This window comes from Homo sapiens, chromosome 5, assembly GCF_000001405.40.
Source record: "Homo sapiens chromosome 5, GRCh38.p14 Primary Assembly".
Classification (NCBI taxonomy): Eukaryota; Metazoa; Chordata; class Mammalia; order Primates; family Hominidae; genus Homo; species Homo sapiens.
This window is the reverse complement of record NC_000005.10, coordinates 74,085,964-74,104,085: the sequence shown is the minus strand read 5'-3', so window position 1 is coordinate 74,104,085 and position 18,122 is coordinate 74,085,964. Positions and strand designations below refer to the sequence as shown.

At 41.9% G+C, this 18,122-nt stretch overlaps 1 long non-coding RNA gene across 1 annotated transcript in view, besides 1 other annotated feature; it reads left to right on the top strand.

Moving 5' to 3' along the window:
* Positions 1 to 957: 957 nt before the first annotated feature.
* The window catches only part of LINC02122 (long intergenic non-protein coding RNA 2122), a 68,866-nt gene continuing 51,701 nt past the window's right edge, over positions 958 to 18,122 (top strand). The window contains exon 1 of the long non-coding RNA NR_183289.1: positions 958 to 1,346. This is a non-coding gene — a long non-coding RNA (long intergenic non-protein coding RNA 2122). The remainder of the gene's footprint in view (positions 1,347 to 18,122) is intronic.
* Positions 6,975 to 7,175: a silencer, noted in NCBI's record as "peak5282 fragment used in MPRA reporter construct". NCBI's record gives its function as "represses an SCP1 promoter by STARR-seq MPRAs in K562 erythroleukemia cells {active_cell/tissue: K562}" and the evidence as "EXISTENCE:reporter gene assay evidence [ECO:0000049][PMID:32103011]".

Below are 18,122 nucleotides of genomic sequence, written 5' to 3'. Positions count from 1 at the left end.
AGAAATACGGTTTAATATGGGCACCTATAATTCAGTCAAGGTGACACATACAATTAACCATCACATCCATCTAACATGGGCTGGCAAGGCATTGGTTAAATGAGGGTACAGCCCATGTTGGGGAGGAATGGAATCCTCCTGACTAGCCAAGGGCTTTAATCTTTAGTTCTCAACTCTGGCAGCACATCAGAATCACTATGGAGTGATTCGTGAATACGTCTGGGCCTGCGTCAGGAGCCGTGTGACCATCCTGCCTGGTCAGCCACAAAGTTACAATGCTTCCTTCCTGGGTAACCTGCCACCAGGAGCACATGGCACAGCAAGGCTTGGAAGAAGGTGAAACAAGGAAATCACCAGGCGTTCTTCACTCTTTACCTCTCACTCTTTGTTTTGACAATTTTGGCCTGCTGGCTACTTCGTATTTCTGTTTATGAAAAGAGGAAGTCTGACTCTGCCAAATAGGAAAGGAAGAATCGTAATTGTGTTATTGGTGGAGGGTCTTGACTACAACTTGTCCCAGTTCTTGGCGTTTTGAACCAAGAATTGGACAAATTAAACAAAGCAACCAAAGAATGAAGCAACAAAAGCACAGACTTGTGGAAACGAAAGTATACCCCACAGGGTGGGAGTAGGCGCCAGCGGCTCCAGAGCACTGGTTATAGAACGTTCTGGGGTTTAAATACCCTTTAGAGGTTTCCCAGTAGTTAGTTGGTTTACACCCTATGTAAATAAAGGAGTGGCCCACAACCAGTCTAATGGGTTGTGGAAGGTGACGAGTCAGACTGAAGTGAAGTTACCAAGTAATACCCTATGCAGATGTCTGATTGGTTGTAGGAAGGGGACCAATCAGAGGTACTTGCCATTTCTCATCTGCGATGCAGAAAGGGGTGCGGGTTGCAAAGGGAGTAGCCTCTGTTTTTTTGTTACTTAAGCATGGGAAGTTGGAGTTTTCCTTTTGATTCATTTCTAGGAAGTCGGTGCAAACTGGCCCTGCCTCCAGACCCTATTCTCCAGCATGAATTGCATCTCATCAATGTCATTTTCACTTTTGATGATGAAGGCTGATTACCTTGTAGAGAGAGAAGTCATAGGGATGTTATGTCCATGGAGCGTGGCCTTAAGTGGACCTATTTCTTGGGGTCTCCAGATCTGTTTGGAACTTCAAAATTATTCAAGAAAAGGTGTCTCATCAGCAGAAGACTGAACAGTTTTACCTAATGGTATCTTGAGTAGAAATGTAACCTAGAAGAGTTTATTGAAAATCCTCCTGGCTGATGCTTATTTCTTGGAATCCTGAGTCTTACACTTGCTACCTAATAAAAAGAAGGAAGATTCTTCTCAGCAAGGTTGGTTTTTTGATCCTTTATGACACAGAATTGGGAGTAACTGGGGAGAAATATAAAAGGTCTGAGACTAGATAAGGCTGGTGGAGGAATTGAGTGGTATTTCAATCAAGAAAGGGAGGGAACAGCTATATATACGAGAAAATGAAGAAAACAAAATGTTTACATTTTCTTTGTATTGAAATGTTGTCGTGTTCTATTACCCCTTTTGTGGTGTTCAAGAAACTCAAGTACAGATCTTGAATACCTTTGGCTGGACTTGCTTTATTGGCTACAGCTCTGCATTAAGACTGCTCCAGTAGGGTCACAGACTTATAAAAAGCTCTTCAGACTCTCTCAACCAAACAAATCCATGCACTCCATAGATTTGTTTTTTCAATCAATTATTTAGCCCTCAAGGGGTTTTTTATACTCATAAAGTGTAAAAAGTCATTTCAGATCCCTCTACTCATGAAGGAAGGGGAGGGGGGGAGGGAGGGAAGTAGAGGGGGGGAGGGAGAAAGAGATAGGGAGGGAAACAAGGAGGCAGAGAGAAAAACGAAACAATGAGGTTTTGACTTCCCTTGAGCCACTAGGCTGGAGTGCAGTGGTACGATCTTGGCTAACTGCAGCCTTGACCTCCCAGGCTCAAGCAATCCTCTCACCTGAGCTTCCCAAATAGCTGGGACCATAGGTGCACGCCATCACACCTGGCATATATATATTATTTATTTTATTTTATTTTTATTTTTTTTGTAGAGACAGGGTTTTGCCATGTCATGCAGGCTAGTCTTGAACTCCTGAGCTCAGGTGATCACCCACCTCAGCCTCCTAAAGTGCTGGGATTATAGCCATGAGCCACCATGCCTGGCCACAACCAGCTTTAAATAAGAGCTCTGGACAAGAATTAAGCTGGAATTCCCGAAAGCATCCATTGTATGTAATGAATTAGCTGTCTCTTAGGCATTTAGATTACTACCAGTTACTTAGAATTCAGAGAATTGAGAAAATAGTCAAAAAAATAATTTTCTGTGTTCTATGGTTCAGATGAGAGATATTATCTGAAAAAAAATCTAGTTTAGATCAGTTTCTTGACAGTGGCACTATTGACAATTTGGGCCAGATAATTATTTGTTGTGGAGGTTTCTCTGTGCATTGTAGGATGTTTGGCAGCATCCCTGGCTTGTACCCACTAGATGCCAGTATCTCCCTCTCCCTTTCTTTCTCACACACATACACAATCATAATAATCAAAAATTTCTCTAGATTTTTGCCAAATGTCCCTTGGGTGGCAAAATCCCCCCTAGTTGACTAGTCTAAATCCTTGCTGGTCCAGTAGGGTCATAGATTTATAAAAAGCTCTTCAGGCCATCTTTCAACCAAATAAATACATGCACTCCATAGATTTGTTTTTCCAATCAATTATTTAGCCCTCAAGGGGTTTTTTATACTCATAAAGTGCAAAAAGCCATTTCGGACTTTTTGCTGAATAATGATAGACATTAGTGTCTATCAGCTTGAGCATCTCCTGGGAAGCTTGTTGAAATTCTGGAATCTCATGGCCCACCTAGACCTTCTATATCATAATCGGCATTTTAACAAAATCCCCGTGTGATGTGCATACGCACCAAAGCCTGAGAGGCACCCCCAGTTTTGCAAAGGTCTGCTTGATTGAGCCCTGTTGAGAATCTATCATGAGCATACTAAAAGACAAAAGTATAACAAATTTGCTTTAAATATCTTAATTGGCTTTTATTTGCAATTCTAGAATCGGGCAACACCACATTCTATAAAATGAGTGTTCCCATGAGCTGAGTAGAGGAGGTGGGCTTTACAGACAGAAAAAGGCAGAAGAAAGCAGAAACAGTGAAAGGAAAAGCAGACTGGTTGTTTCAAAGTTATTTTCCTTGTATAGTTTAAACCCAGGGGACTTCTTTAGCTTGCCGGCTGAAGTGAACTGGGCCCCTTGAGATTGGTTGCTATGACTCTCCTGGCCTTTCTTTTTCTTTCTTTTTTCTTTTTTTTTTTAAAAACTGGCCTGTTTCAGAGCTCAGTTGGATCAGGTGGCACCTAGCATGAGTGACTCCATTCCCGTTTGGTCTGATTTGCGGGAGCCTAGCACAGGAGGCTAGTCCAAAACCATGGCCTCTTATGAATTTCATTTAACAAGCAAGATATCTTGGCATGCTGTGGGGATAAACTGATAGACATAATCCCAGGTCTCACTGAATAAGTCTGCACTTGTTCAGCTAAGCTAAATGTATTATATGATTCTCACACATGTCCATATGATCAAATAATATGTAGCCAAAAATTATGATGCAGATCTATATTTATTTACATGTATTGATGTTCATAACATATCTTGTTAAGTGAAAAAGCAGATTGCAAAATAGTATATATCACACAGTATGATCTGTTTTGCAGACACAAATTAATTCAAATTATATGTACATAAGAAATATATCAGTGTATATAAACATTCTTTAGCATATCTTGGAGAAAGATTATTGTTGATTTTTATCTTCCTTAAAATGTTTTCAGCATTTTTCTGAATTTTTACAATGAACGCATATTATTTTTATAACTAGAAAAGACAATTTCTTCAATTTTGCAAAAGACGGCCTTAACAGCTACATCTGCTCTGCCTCATAGTCTGTTCTCATAATAAAGAGGTCCAAGATTTATAAAATATGTCTAGAGTATTCCTTTTCTGGCTGAAATCCACCCATTTTTTCACCCAGAGAACAGGATCCAGATCTAAGGGTAGATATGATTCTATGATAGTCCCTGGGCTGGAGGCCCCTATACTCTCTGTGGTGGGGTGGGAGTGGGGGTTCAGAATGCTATAACATTTGATGTTATGGTTAGAGCTGGGGTGGGGCCAGATCATGATTCACCAATCCCATTTCCTCCTGGGCACAGAGCTGGGCTACATTTCCTAGACTTCTTTGTGGTTCAGTTTGGTCTTGACTAAAAGAATGTGAACAGAAGTGATACATGACACCCCACTCCTGGTCCTTAATACCTCTGGATGTGATTTGCTGTGCTGTTTCCCCTATGCTGGGTGGATACAGAAAGTTCACGTGAGATAGATGGCAGAGTCACAGGGGAAGGACCCTGGGCCCCTGCCTCACATGCTGATGCAGAGCAGGCTGCTGATGGAGAGCATATTTTGAACTTTATATAAGCAAGAAATAATAAACCTTGATCACATATGAGCCCATACACATTTGGGGGGTTTGTTTGTTACAGACCACTTACATTCTGTTTTGAATAAAGTACTGTTGCTATGCAGAGGAAAGAGAACAGGAAGTAATTAGTAAAGAAGCAGTAGCCTCTGAAGGAGGACTAGTTTGAATAAGCCAAATCACGTTTAACTAGAGTCTTACAACTAGGCTTATGAGAGCATTTATTGGCACAGATGATATAAATGGAAAAGGCCAGATACTTGGGCTCTGCCTAATAATCTCTTAATGAAGAGTAAATTTAAAATGCAATGTTTCTTTCCAAGAAAGAGGGTCTCTAGCAGGAATTTGAGTTCATTGGTCACTCAGCAGAGCTACACTGTCATTATAGCAGCAGGTTGTGGGCAAAGGGCTATCAAGAAACCATCAGAAGCCTGAGTTTTCTTGCTTGCTTGAATGTAATAGCTCATCCATTTGACATTGCATTAGGTTGAAACTTGGCACAAGGCTTGTCAGCCCAGATGTGAAATTTTATTGTCAAACAAACAAAATATGTTTTAAAATGTTCCAGGGATCTCAGGTTGTTGTGGTTTAAAGTTTCTTTTATTGAAAAATTGAGCCAATAGATAGGAGCTTCAATATAAAACATAAAATTTTGCAAACAGTTACTACTTTAGAAAAATATACGACTCTGTATCCACTCAAGAGCCTTTGAAATAACAGCCAATAACAAGAAAAAAATGTGGACATTAATAAACTGTTTGGGTGGGCTTGTGTATGTTCTTTTCCTTCCTGTCTCTCCACTAAACTGAAACCTTAATGTTGAATAACAAACCTTGACCTACAAATAATTTCTCTATTTTCTCATGGTTTCCTTTCTTGGCCTTTTATGAGGCAGGAAAGTAGCATGGTCTGAGTGATATCTTGACAACCAACATTTCCCTTTGGATGAGAAAAACAACTGTTATTCTAACAGGAGATGACTTCTATGCTAACACTTCTGAACAATGCCATGCCCACTTGAAGGTATGAAATTCAGCATTACAGGGTATTATGTTAGCCAAAAGCCAGGATGAAGCAGAGAATCTAACACTTTGGAGGAAAGAGCTACCTTGCCAGAACCAGACAACACTCAGGCCATCTAACACCTTCAATAATTTAACATTGTAAAAATGAAGGACAGGGTGGGCATGGACGATGTCCTGAGGGAAACAAAAAGAATGGTGTTAAAATCTGGCAAACTCTCAGAAGGCACAGCACAAGTGAGTTCTAAACCCCTCCTGGAGCATAAGCAGAGACAATGCTATTGACAAGCATGACTGCTCCAGGAGGGTAACTCAGAGGCCACTGGAAATCCATTGAAGACCACCGGGGGAGCCAAGACCACCCCTGGAGGACCACTGAGTTGGTGGGTAACTCTGGGAGCCCAGAGGTAACACTCCTTTTATTGCCTGAAAGACACAATGATACTTATGACCCATTCTGGGAGTCTACAGGGCTCAATAAGTTCATGTGCATAGGCACTAAGAAGTATGGGTAAAAGACTAAAATTATATTATTCCTGGCTGGGAATGTTCCCTGTAAAATTCCTTATAATTACAGTGCCACCCTTGTAGATATTAGACGACAGTGAGGTTCTGAGCTGTATCATAAACTTCTTACCACCCAATAAACCTCCTCTCTTGGCTTTTTCTCCCTGAAGCATGTTCTTTTACCCCAAAACTTTCTATACCCTGGCCTACTAATTTCAATGGGAGTCTCAGACAGCTAAAGCAGGATGAAGACCAATAGAACATCAAGTGTAACCACTTTATCTTACAGATTAGGATGTCAGGTTCGGAGGAATGGCATCGTATAGACTCTGAGATGCAAATAACACTCCCCAAATCACCTGAATAACTCTTGGGCTCAGCCCTTTTCAAGTGTTTTTCAGAACAGTGGTGCTTCATGGCCTGTGCTTGCCATGCAGTTAAAGTACAATAACATGGACATTTTCCCAATCTGTGTCTCTCTCTCACTTACGCATATACAGTGTTAATTAGTTAATGAGTTGAATTTCCTCAGTAAGGAGTTTGTGTATTTGTGGGCATGTGCTTAAACTCTGTTTTCTGTTAATATTGGTCAGGATAATCATTTAGCAAAACCATAGTACTTAGTTATTTTTAGTTTAAAACATCAATGACTCATGGCTTTCCAGAGCTCATGGGAAGCCATGCTTCCTGGTCTTCTGCTACCTGAACATGTTTGAGAATCTCTGCACTCCCCCAGGCTTCCTGTCCCTGGATTTGGGCATATAGAGAGCATTTTGGCTTGGCATGAAGGAGAGACACTGTGAGACTCAGGATGCATGAGTGTTGCTTCAGGAGCAGGTTACACATGTGTTATTGGGCCATTCTCCTGGGTTCTTCACAGAATCCAGCTCCATCTCAGGGATGGAAGCTTTGGGAGAGCTGAGAGGCATCATCCTTATTTTTCCAGAAGGCACTATTAACAGCAGTAACAGTGTAGTTACCCTCAACAGCTTCTTTCACAGTAGAGGTTGACAAAGCAAAGCTGCAGTAGAAGATAAAAGCTGTGGATATCTCATGGTGGCTATTGACCAACTCACAAGTGGGCTTGAGATCTATGTAGGCTGATCTTCAACAACTTCAAGAAGTATTTGTGTGTGTATGGTGGAGATGGGGTAAGAGGAGTGGGTGGTTGGTTTTATTTAAGGAAAGATATGCTAAAGAGCCTGCAGACAGGCAAAAACAGGGGCTTTGGGTTATTAATGTTAACCATAGCTCATTGTTAGTCGCTAGCTGGGCTGGTGAAGCCTGGGATATGTAAGTAACATAAAGTTAACATTTTGATCAGAGATTGCATTCTCTTGTTGGCACAGAATAGTATTCCAGGGACTGCAAGTGCTGTAATTCATCCCTACAGACCCAACTTATTATAGAGTGACATGAGCTCCAAAACACTTTATTCCAACAAATATATGCAAAAGTAATATTTTGGTGTATTGGAAAACACTCTAGGTTTAAATCCTAGCTCTTTTTGCTGTGTGATTTGGGCCAAATTATTAACCTCTCTGATCCTCAATTTACCACCTGTTAAATGGGCATAATAATACCAAACTCAGAATTTATGGAGGGATCATTTATTTAGTCAACAAATATTTACTGAGACCAAATATGGGTGAGGCATTGGACACAGAATGATGAATACAAAGACTGTTCCTTCACTTATGAAGTGTATCTTCTGGTGGAACATAAGAAATAACATATAAAAACTGTATTAGCACAATAGTTTGAAATAAGGGGTGCTGAATAGACAGCACTTTTCATTACTATTTGCCATTGTTAATATTTCCATTTGAGCTTTCATGCCTAGGAGATAGAAGTTTCACAATGGCGAGGAACTTTATTCATTTTGTACATAGCTAAATAGCACATAGTACATAACCACAAAATATTTGCTGAATGGATGAGTCCAAATGTTTCTCATAGTTTTTAACAAGCTTAGTTCCTGCGTAAGTAAACATGTTTTAGATTGCAAATGCATACATTCCCGATGTGTTGCAGAGGGCTGATTTGTTAAAATATTTGCCTCTGAAATATTCTCTTTAAAACGTTTCTATACACATACACCTATGTACATATTTATGCTTAACTACCCGGTTCAGCAATTGATGAGCTATATTTTCCCTGAGCTCTGAGTAAGCTCTACAACTAGGCAGAAGCCCCAGCTCAAACTTAGATGTGCTCTCACAGTGAGTGTGCCCTCCACATCAGCTCCAGAGTTGATAGTGTTCTGTAATGTGTGTGGTTCCCTCCACTGTGACCTCTCTCTAGTCCTTCATTTTGTGTTCTGGGGGAAGAGTTCTGATTCCCACAAGAGTGACAAAAGAGGCACAAATTCTGGAGCCATAGCTGCCACATTGAAGCAAAGAGTATTCTACTAGACAGTGAAATGCAAGTTTTGTGGAAGCCCAAGTTGCTTTCAAGGCAATAGGTGGTAGAAGTGGAAAGAACAGAACAGTCTGGTAAGAATCATTAGACATTTTACAAGCAAAATATCACAGCAGTTGGCGGTCTGAACAATTGTAGACCTGGTCTTCAGAGACCATGGCCAGAGGCATGCCACACCTTCAAGAGATTTGAAGCAATGAAAGGATCACTACAGATGGACAAGAAAAATCTCTCGCCATAGGTATGAGGTTCTAGTAGGCAATATAGTGTGGACTGCTTACTGCTCCAGCATTCTGGAATACAACCCCATTTCTCAAATCCTTAGTTGAGAAAAGACTCATGTTAGCTTAAGCCAGGAAAGAATTTACTCAACAGTGCTTCCAAAAACCCAAGGGCAAGCATGCAGTGGATCTCAAAATAAACTGGAATCTGAGAGAGACAGCCATGAGGAATCTGACTCTCCTATCTCTAGTCATAATGGGTCTTGTTTCTTCTCTTTTTACACCTTGGCTTCCTCTGCTTCCCTGGACACACCTTTTGAAAATATAACCAATAATGATGTTTATCCACCTGGAGAAGACTAGATCTCTCTCCACTTCATTCCGTCTTCCTAAGAAATATTCCTATTGGCCCAACCTGGCCCAGTGACTATTGGGCCCAATCTGGGCCCAGTGACTGTGGCCGGGGTTGATTCATATCTTACAAACGTGGCCACCAGGAGCCATGGTGGGGGATGGGGAGAGCAGTTTCCAAAAAAAGGCTAGGGTTAGGATGAGGTAAGTTTCTAGACACATAATCCAATAGGTTTTCAGCATGGTTCCTGATTAAGGACATGGCCCGTAAAATATACCAGACCTTCCGTATGCCCTTAGTTGGATATAAATACAAGCCAAAGTAGACTGAAGAGGGGGGCCTCATGGTTCGAGACCTGAGTTTGTGTTGCTGCTTTGTGGCCTGAGGCATGGTCCCCTCTCTGGACATCTGTTTCCTCTTCTGAAACATGAAATTGCATTAAGCCAGTTCTACATAAAAGTATCACAAATCTTATTAAAATTCTAATATTTATAACTCATTGACAATAAGACTACTCAGGTTAAACTTAATTAGAAATGGTCTTTATCTTTTATTGAAGTTATAACAACTGATGTTTCCGGTGAGAAGTTCTGATGGGGTGATATTAATGTTTCTGAATACTAAAAGTCAGCGAGAGTAAATTCATGACTAATTCATAAATGCAGTTTTGTGGACAAACTGCTGCAAAATAGAATCCATTCAGGGGTGAATAATAATAATAATAGCTACCATGATCTTAGCCAGTAATAGCATTGGCTGTCTGCCAGGCTTTGTGCTAAGATTTCATTTAGTCGTCACAGTAATACTGTAAGGTACATACTATTTTTAATCCCTGTTTTACAGATTTAAGAAAATTGAACTTTGGCTTAGAAAGGCCATCCAGTAAGAATGTGGCTGGACCAAGTTTCAAACCCACTTCTATTGAAAAAGATTGAAAACTGTTGCATTAGCTGATCTCTGCCTCTTAAACTAAATGTGATGAAATTAATAAATTATACAATTATACAATATGATGTGTGTGTATATTGTATACTTTTCATCTCTGATACTCCACACATTCAATGCATGTGTCAGAAAGGCATAGATGTATATTAATGTTTAAATATTACCTATTCCCTTGTCTGAAATGCATGACAGTGTTTCAATCACAGAGCCAGGCACATGCAGGGAATTTTGCAAGCACAAGCTCAACTATATGAGAGTGCAAAGTTAAGTTTTTATTGGCCTGAGTATGGTGATTCAAGCCTTGATGTTTTACTACTTGGGCCATGTGGTTTGGGAGGTGCTGTTGTAGGGTGTGGGGGTCTGTGACTGCTCACGTGTGCACACGTGTGTGTGTGCATGGCTGGGTATTTTCCAGAGTGGAACAAGAAGGATTAACTTTCAGCATTTGGCTCACCCTAACCTATAGCAGATGGGCACTGGCTTTAAGTTCTCATAAAAGTCAACCCTAGAGACTTGTTAAATAATTTATCCTCAACTTTGGAAGAGCAAAGGAATAAGGTGATTAGGAAAAATGGAAAGCCACATGATAATGTGCCATTGATGGAGTGGGGTTGTCTTTCGCTGTGGTACATGGTGAATGTAGCAGCGAATGAATTTGGAAAGTAGTGGGGAGAGAGTCGGACCTGGTTGGGAGAGCCCTTGGAGCAGAGAGCTCCTGACTTTTATCCCCAGCAGCTGCAGCAGAGAAAGTGAGAAAACCTCCATTCTTTACCCAGGGAATGGCCCCAACTTTAAGACATATTGAACCATGCTAATTTTAAGGCCTCCCAATATAACCATTTTATTTCATCCAGCTGTGGGGCCTGACTTTGGGCTGGAAAGGAGAGCCAGAAAAACAGGTAGGGCAGAGCTGGAAAAATAAATCCACAGGATGCCTGTCAGTACCTGGTTTTAAGCTGAGGGTGTGGGAGCTGTAGCAAAGTCACATGGGTGATTTAACATAGACCACCACCTCCTACTGGCTTTCAATGACCTCCTTTCCTGTTCCCCACTGCCAGCAGCTGGAGAAGTGAAAGTCCTTCAAGCTTCAATCAAGAAGCTCTCCTACTTTCAGTCCCTTTTAATAAGATGCCATGAGCATAGCTCACTTGTTAAATAGTCACTCATCCATTGAAACAACTTTAAGGAGGCAGGGCTAGTCAGGATCCATGGTTGCAAACAACAGAAACTATTTCTAGTTAATTTAAGCAGAAAAGGAAGTTATTGGAAGGAGACGGAATAACTTGCAAAACCAAGAATGTGCATGGAGAACTAAGATTGGGCGATGTCCAGGTGCCAACGGAGTCCAGGTGCTGGAAACACAGCCAAGGTCATGCCACAGAAGGGTCTGGATGGCGCTGCAGCTGCCCCTGAAATCCCCACCAGTAAGCAATATTAAGATGTTGCTGGTACTGCCAGAATTCACCTTTAAGTATCCCATAGTTCCCTGTATCACCTGCTTCAAGTTTAAAAATCCAGGGCATTGGCATCCAACCTCACTTGCCAGGGGCCAGGTTAGTGAGAGAGGAACCATTTGAGGCAAGCCTTACCTTCAACATACCTTGGGGTGGCCTGGAGGTGTAGTTCAGTGGCTGGAAAGGCAAAACTGCCAAATATTCACAACAGAGCTTTCTCTAAAATTGAGAATTTCCTCTTTCCAGAGAAAGATAAAGAAAGATGGCCAGACATAGTGTTTCATGCCTGTAATTCCAGCACTTTGGGAGGCTGAGGTAGGCAGATCACTTGAGGCCAGGAGTTTGAGACCAGCCTGGCTAACATGGTGAAACCCCATCTCTACTAAAAATACAAAAATTAGCCAGGTATGGTGGCACTTGCTTGTAATCACAGCTACTCAGGAGGCTGAGGCACAGGAATCTCTTGAACCTGGGAGGTGGAGGTTGTAGTGAGCTGAGATCAAGCCACCGCACTCCAGCCTGGGTGACAGAACAAGACTTCATCTCAAAACAAAAAAAAGAGGAGTTCCTCTTAATACCCTGTTGATGGCAATGTTAATTAGTATAGTCATTATGGAAAACTATGGAGGGTCCTAAAAAAAAAATTATAATATAGCTACCATATAATCCAGTGATCCTACTATTGGATATTTATCCAAAGGAAAGGAAATCAACATGTCAAAGAGACATCTGCACTCCCAAGTTTATTGCAGCACTATTTACAATAGCCAAGATATGGAATCAACCTCAGCATCCATCAACAGATGGATGGATAAAAATATGTGGTCTATCTATAGTATGGAATACTATTTAGCCATAAAAATAATGAAATCCTGTCTTTTGCAGCAACATGGATGAACCTCATTATGTTAAATGAAAGAAGTCAGGCACAGGCACAGAAAGACAAATACCATAAAATGCCATTCATGGAATCTTAAAAATTTGATCTCATAGAAATACAGACTAGAATAGTGGTTACCAGAGCTTGGGAGGGTAGTAGGGAGGGGACGACGGGAAGAGATTGATCAAGTACAAAATTACGGTTAGATAGGAGAAATAAATTCTGGTGTTCTGTAGCACAGATGGGTGACTGTAGTAACAATAATATACTGTATATTTTAAAATAGCTAGAAGAGAGAATTCCAAATGTTCTCAGCACAAAGAATTGATAAATGTTTGAGGTGATGGATATGCTAAATACTATGATTTGATCATTACACAATGTATGTATGTATTGAAGCATCACACTGTATCCCATAAATAGTTACAATTATTATGTGTCAATTAGAAACAAAATAATTTTAGCTGGGTGTAGTGGCATACACCTGTAATCCCAGCTACTCAAGAGGCTGAGGTGGAAGGATTGCTTGAGTCCAGGAGTTCCAGGTCAGTGTGAGCAACATAGTAAGACCCTATCTCAAAAACAAAATTTAAAAAAACTGAAATAATTTGAAATTCTTAAAAAAGAATAAGTTCCCAGTATCATAATGGGCTCAAAGACTAATTCATACAGTTGGTTTGCATTTCATACTTTCCATGAGGTTTAGAGATTTCTCTGACCTAAGTTCAAAGGAGAATTTGTTCTGATGTTACTTGTCCAAGGAAAGTTAATGTGAAGGTCTCCTGACACCTGCAGAGATGGGCCTTGTTGCTATGACAGCCTTTGGAAGAGGGAAGGATGCAAGAGGTGGAAGCATTACACACCTGTAAAATAATGGTCCACTCCTTACAAGTACCCTGAGCGATTTGATCCTATGAAGAAAATAAAAAACAAGGATTTGTTTCTTTAACTCCTCACCAGGCGTGGCATGAGTTAGGTTGGAGAGTTACAGGCAGAGCCCAGGTGCAGTCTGTTTGGCCTCTGTACTCAGCAGGTATTGATACCAAATCTACGTCGGCCAAGACAGGCCCTCAGAGCCACTCCTTCCACCACTTTGGAGGGCAGTAATTCCCAGCTGTTTGCCAGATTCATGTCATCCATTACTATCTTCTGGGAAACGCTGAGGACATGGGGGACTGAAACTGCTCTAGGAATTGGAGACTCTGCCCCAGGTGAGCAATGTGATTCTGGGTACAGCACCAGGCCCTTCTGGGCCTTGAATGTAGGGGTGAGACACGATAAAAAACCTTGCAGTTTTAAAATGAAAGGACTGTGGATTTAAAATACAAAATAGCTTCAGCAGTGACTAAAAACCTTGGTAGCCCAAAAGGGAATAAGGGGAGAAAGTAAACTCTGAGAGTATTATCCTTTGAGGCTCAAAGTGTCTCGTCTCTAGGATAAATACAGATTTGTTCCCAATTGTTGGGGTGTTCTGATGTGACAAGCACCCAGTGCTGCTCACCTGAGGGTAATTAAATTTGTGGAGGCACTTCTCCCTCAGCCAAAGGACCTACATGTCATAAGATGGTCGTTATAAAATAAGCATGTCAAATGTGGCCCTGATTTAATAACAAAGATGAAAATCCAATGGGATCTACTGAGACAAGCAAGCTTCATGTATGACTAAGTGCAGGATGAAGGGAGGGTAGGCACACCTCAGTCATTGGCCTGAAGATCAGGGAGGACAATAAGCAAGAGTGGCTCCCATTCCTCACCATCCACACCTCCACATTGCCACCAAGCCCCCCAAAGTTAGACCATCATCTTGTTTAGGAATATACCTGGGATCGACAAATGGATGTGATTCTATCAAGAACATTCTCTGTCTCCTTATGTTTAGCAAAGGCTCTGGTGTTTGTTCAGCATTGTGACAAATCACTGGATGATTGACTCAAGTATTCAATTTGTGTGTCCTGTAGCAAGAGCCAATTTCTCTGAGTCCTTTCTTGAGCTGTTTCAAGAAAACAGTGGCAGAAAAACTTAGCATTTCAACCTATACTTATGTTTTGCAGAGCCTGTCCTTTGAGTCACTCAAAGCTATGGCAGAGCTCTTCCCCAGGGCAAGGAATTCAGGGTTCTCCTCTTTGGAAACTGGATGATGGGGAGCAGGTCAGGGAGGCAGGGCTGGGAGCAGGCAGAAGCAGACTCTCCTGCTGGCCTCTGGAGACACTTTCTCATTGGCCAGGGGTCATGAGCCAACCCTGGCAGTGATGCTATCATCCCTATATCCATGGATGTCTTGGACCATTTCTTATTTTAGATGCTCCATCCCTTGAACTCATAAAAAAAACCTAGTAGTTATACGTAATTTACTTTTGGTTTGAAGAGCAGGGCTACTACTTGTTCTGGTGGCAGACTCTTTTTTTCTTTTCCGCTTCTCATGTTAATTGTTATTAGACATTACTTGTGTAAAAATATCGGTAGGGGGTTCAGTTTCTACTGATACGGCAGACTACCTATTCTGAAAAACATTCCTACTACAAAATATTTGGAAATGCTAGGGAAAATGCAACAAACAAGAAAGTTGGGGAAATCCCAAGGCACCGAAGATGGAAAGGGAAATAGAAACCTGAGTGGGAAGCAGGTGTTGAGGCCAGTCTGTCCTGAGGGTGTCGTATGATTTGGGTGCCCTTGGGTTTTAACAACTATGCAGGAGACAGGGTCTGTGCCAGGTGGGGAGGTGAAACTGAGATCTGTCAAAACCTGGGACTTTTGAAGTCAAAGCACAGATTAAAGGGGAAAATGGTGTATTGAAAAAGGGAGATGACAGGAAAACATGAATGACTCTATATGAATTTTGAGTGGTGAAAAAAGGACTTTCTGGAAAATTTGCAGCCTTGTGCTTGTCATTCTTTGGTTTTGAGGTTTGAATTTACACCATCTGCATGATTGAAAATGCCCCAAGTAGAAAAGGTGTCTGGGACATTTGGCTGGAACCAGTGCAAATTCTGTGAAGAATGGAATCACCTTAGAGTTTCATTTAAAAAAAAAAAAAATCAGAGACAAAAAACAGAATTAGTGTTAGTGAAAGCAAGAGATACAGATTGTTATTTAGGCTGCTCTATGAAGCCACTCCACTCCAGAACTGTAAGTAATAAATATTGTTTTTAAGCCACATGGTCTGTGGCATTTTGTTATAACAGACTAAGACACTTGCTTTATATAAAATGGCCAAAATCATACTTTCTTTGCTCAAGCTTTATCTGGATAATATCTTACATGTGACTAGCAACATACAGTCTATAAAGCCCTTTTACATCTGTTAATCTCATTCTCCATGATCCTATTAGTAGAATTAGATAAATTGAACCCATTCTGCTACTGAAAAAAACTGAGGGTTAGAGAGACTAAGTGCTCAGCCCTGTTAGTAAACGATAGAGCAAAAAATCTGTAGGTCTTTAAGCCTGAGTCCTGTGACCTTTCCAATCTGGCAGCCCACTTCATTCATAGACAAGCAAAGTTTTTAGACTAGGTCTTGTTCTGTTGCCCAGGCTGGAGTGCAGTGGCACGATCTCGGCTCTCTACAGCCTCTGCCTTCTGGGCTCCAGTGATCCTCATGCCTCAGCCTTCCAAGTAGCTGGGACTACAGGCATGTGCCACCACACCCTGCTAGTTTAAAAAATTTTTTTGGCCATGCACGGTGGCTCACACCTGTAATCCCAGCACTTTGGGAGGCTGAGGTGGGCAGATCACGAGGTCAGGAGATCAAGACCATCCTGGCTAACACTGTGAAACCCCGTCTCTACTAAAAATACAAAAAATTATCTGGGCGAGGTGGCAGGTGCCTCTAATCCCAGCTACTCGGGAGGATGAGGCAGGAGAATGGCGTGAACCCAGGAGGCAGAGCTTGCAGTGAGTCAAGATTGTGCCACTGCACTCCAGCCTGGGCGACAGAGCGAGACTCTGCCTCAAAAAAAAAAAAAATTTTTTTTTTTTTGTGGAGACAAGGTCTCACTATATTTCCCAGGCTGGTCTTAAGCTCATGAGCTTAAGCAGCCTGTCCACCTTGGCGCATCCCAAAGTGCTGGGATTATAGGCTGGGTGACAAGCAACCTATATTGAGCTAGGACCGAGGGCTGGGGATACTGTACTGCTTGGGATGCTTACTATGTCATGCAAGAGTCATACAAGAGCCAACAGGGGGATAAGTACTAAAGCTAAGAAGGAAGCCCTGTGGAGGCAGGTAGGAGAGACACCTAACCCAGAATTGGGAGGCTCATAAAAGACTTCTCAAGACGCAGGTCCCTCACGCCATCCTTTTCCAATGTAACCTACAGCAGCTCCTCCAGACCTCTCTCTGAAAGCACCTGAGGCCAAAAATGACCTCTTAATTCCCACAATAACTTCCATCTCCACTTACCTGTGCCTGGGCACAGGAATTCTGGTATTCTGATTTCAGTAAGCCACAAAGACCAAGGACTCTCCTGGAAGGTGTTGATTCGCACTGCTATAAGTTGCTTCAGGGACCTACAAATGTTGAAATGGAGGGATGACCAGAGGGGAGGGGAGGAGAGAATTGCAAAAGAAAGGATTGACTGCGACAGGGAGGCATGACTTTGCCCGCCCTTCCTTCTCATTCTCAGGTCAGACTCTTCAAGCAGCACAAGGGGCTATGGGGTCAATTTGTAATCTGCTCTCTGATTAGAGGAGAAAATGTGGAAAAACTTTCATAATAAAGGAAATTTGTCTTGGGTGCCCTCTTTCTCCCCTTTCTGGATCTTTCCATCCACTATACACTGAGTGAAGCTATGTTGCAGGCAGAATAGGTTAAGGCTACACTACAGAGCTAGAGAGGCTAAGGGGCTGGAGAATAGAGGAAGTTAGAGAGAGAGGCATAGAGGGCTCATCTCCTTCCCCATCCCACCCAACTATCTCGAGCAAACACCAGAACCACACTCCAGTCCAACTTCTGTAGACCTCCAATTCCACCCAGAACTTACCTCCAGAGAACTAGGGAAGGGAGGATGAAGAGAGGGGAGGAAAAGTTCCACTAAGGTATAATTTTTAAGTAAATATTTTTAATAAAACCCTTTAAATATGTCTCAGTGTTCAGGTTTAAATCATCTCTTAAAACTGAAATTTAGGTGATAAAATTATCACTGAACCACGTCCCTCCATCTTCCATAAGGCAATTTCTTCTAGGGTTACAGGGTTTTAAGTTGTGGGATGTTTTCAGCACTGCTTGGAGTTAAAACACAATTTTATTTGACAGCTTGAAAAATATTTCATATAGTTCAAATATTCTTCAAAGAAGTCTGTGGAATGAATGAATATTAGGAAAGGCTGGGGCAGTGGGGCAAGGGAAGAAGGAAGTAAAGTCTCCACAGATGCCCTAGGATATCTGAAAAAATGAGTGGGACAGGGTAGCACAGCCCTTGAGAGGTAGAAGGAGTTGCCTGAGAGAAGGAGAAGCCTTCTGAGAAAAGAAGCCAGGTACAGCCCGTGGCAGCTGAAGAAAAGTCCTAGCCGTCAAGAGGGAAGAACAATTCTAGGCACAGCCCTGAGCATTGCTCCTAGTGGAGGCCCTACTGGACTCAGTGTGGGAGAACAATGTGACCAGGAAATAAAAATGAAGAAGTTTTTCTCCTCAACTCTGGAAAATAAAGGGACTCAGGCAGTCCTGCTGTGAGAGCACTCCAACCCAGTGGGACACAGAATGAAGCACAAGACAATATGCGGTGCCACTAAGCATGCTTGTGGGGTAGAGGGCGTGACCTGGCAGGGGAAAATGAAGGTGCCCAGTAGGAGGTGGCAGAGTGGTAACACCC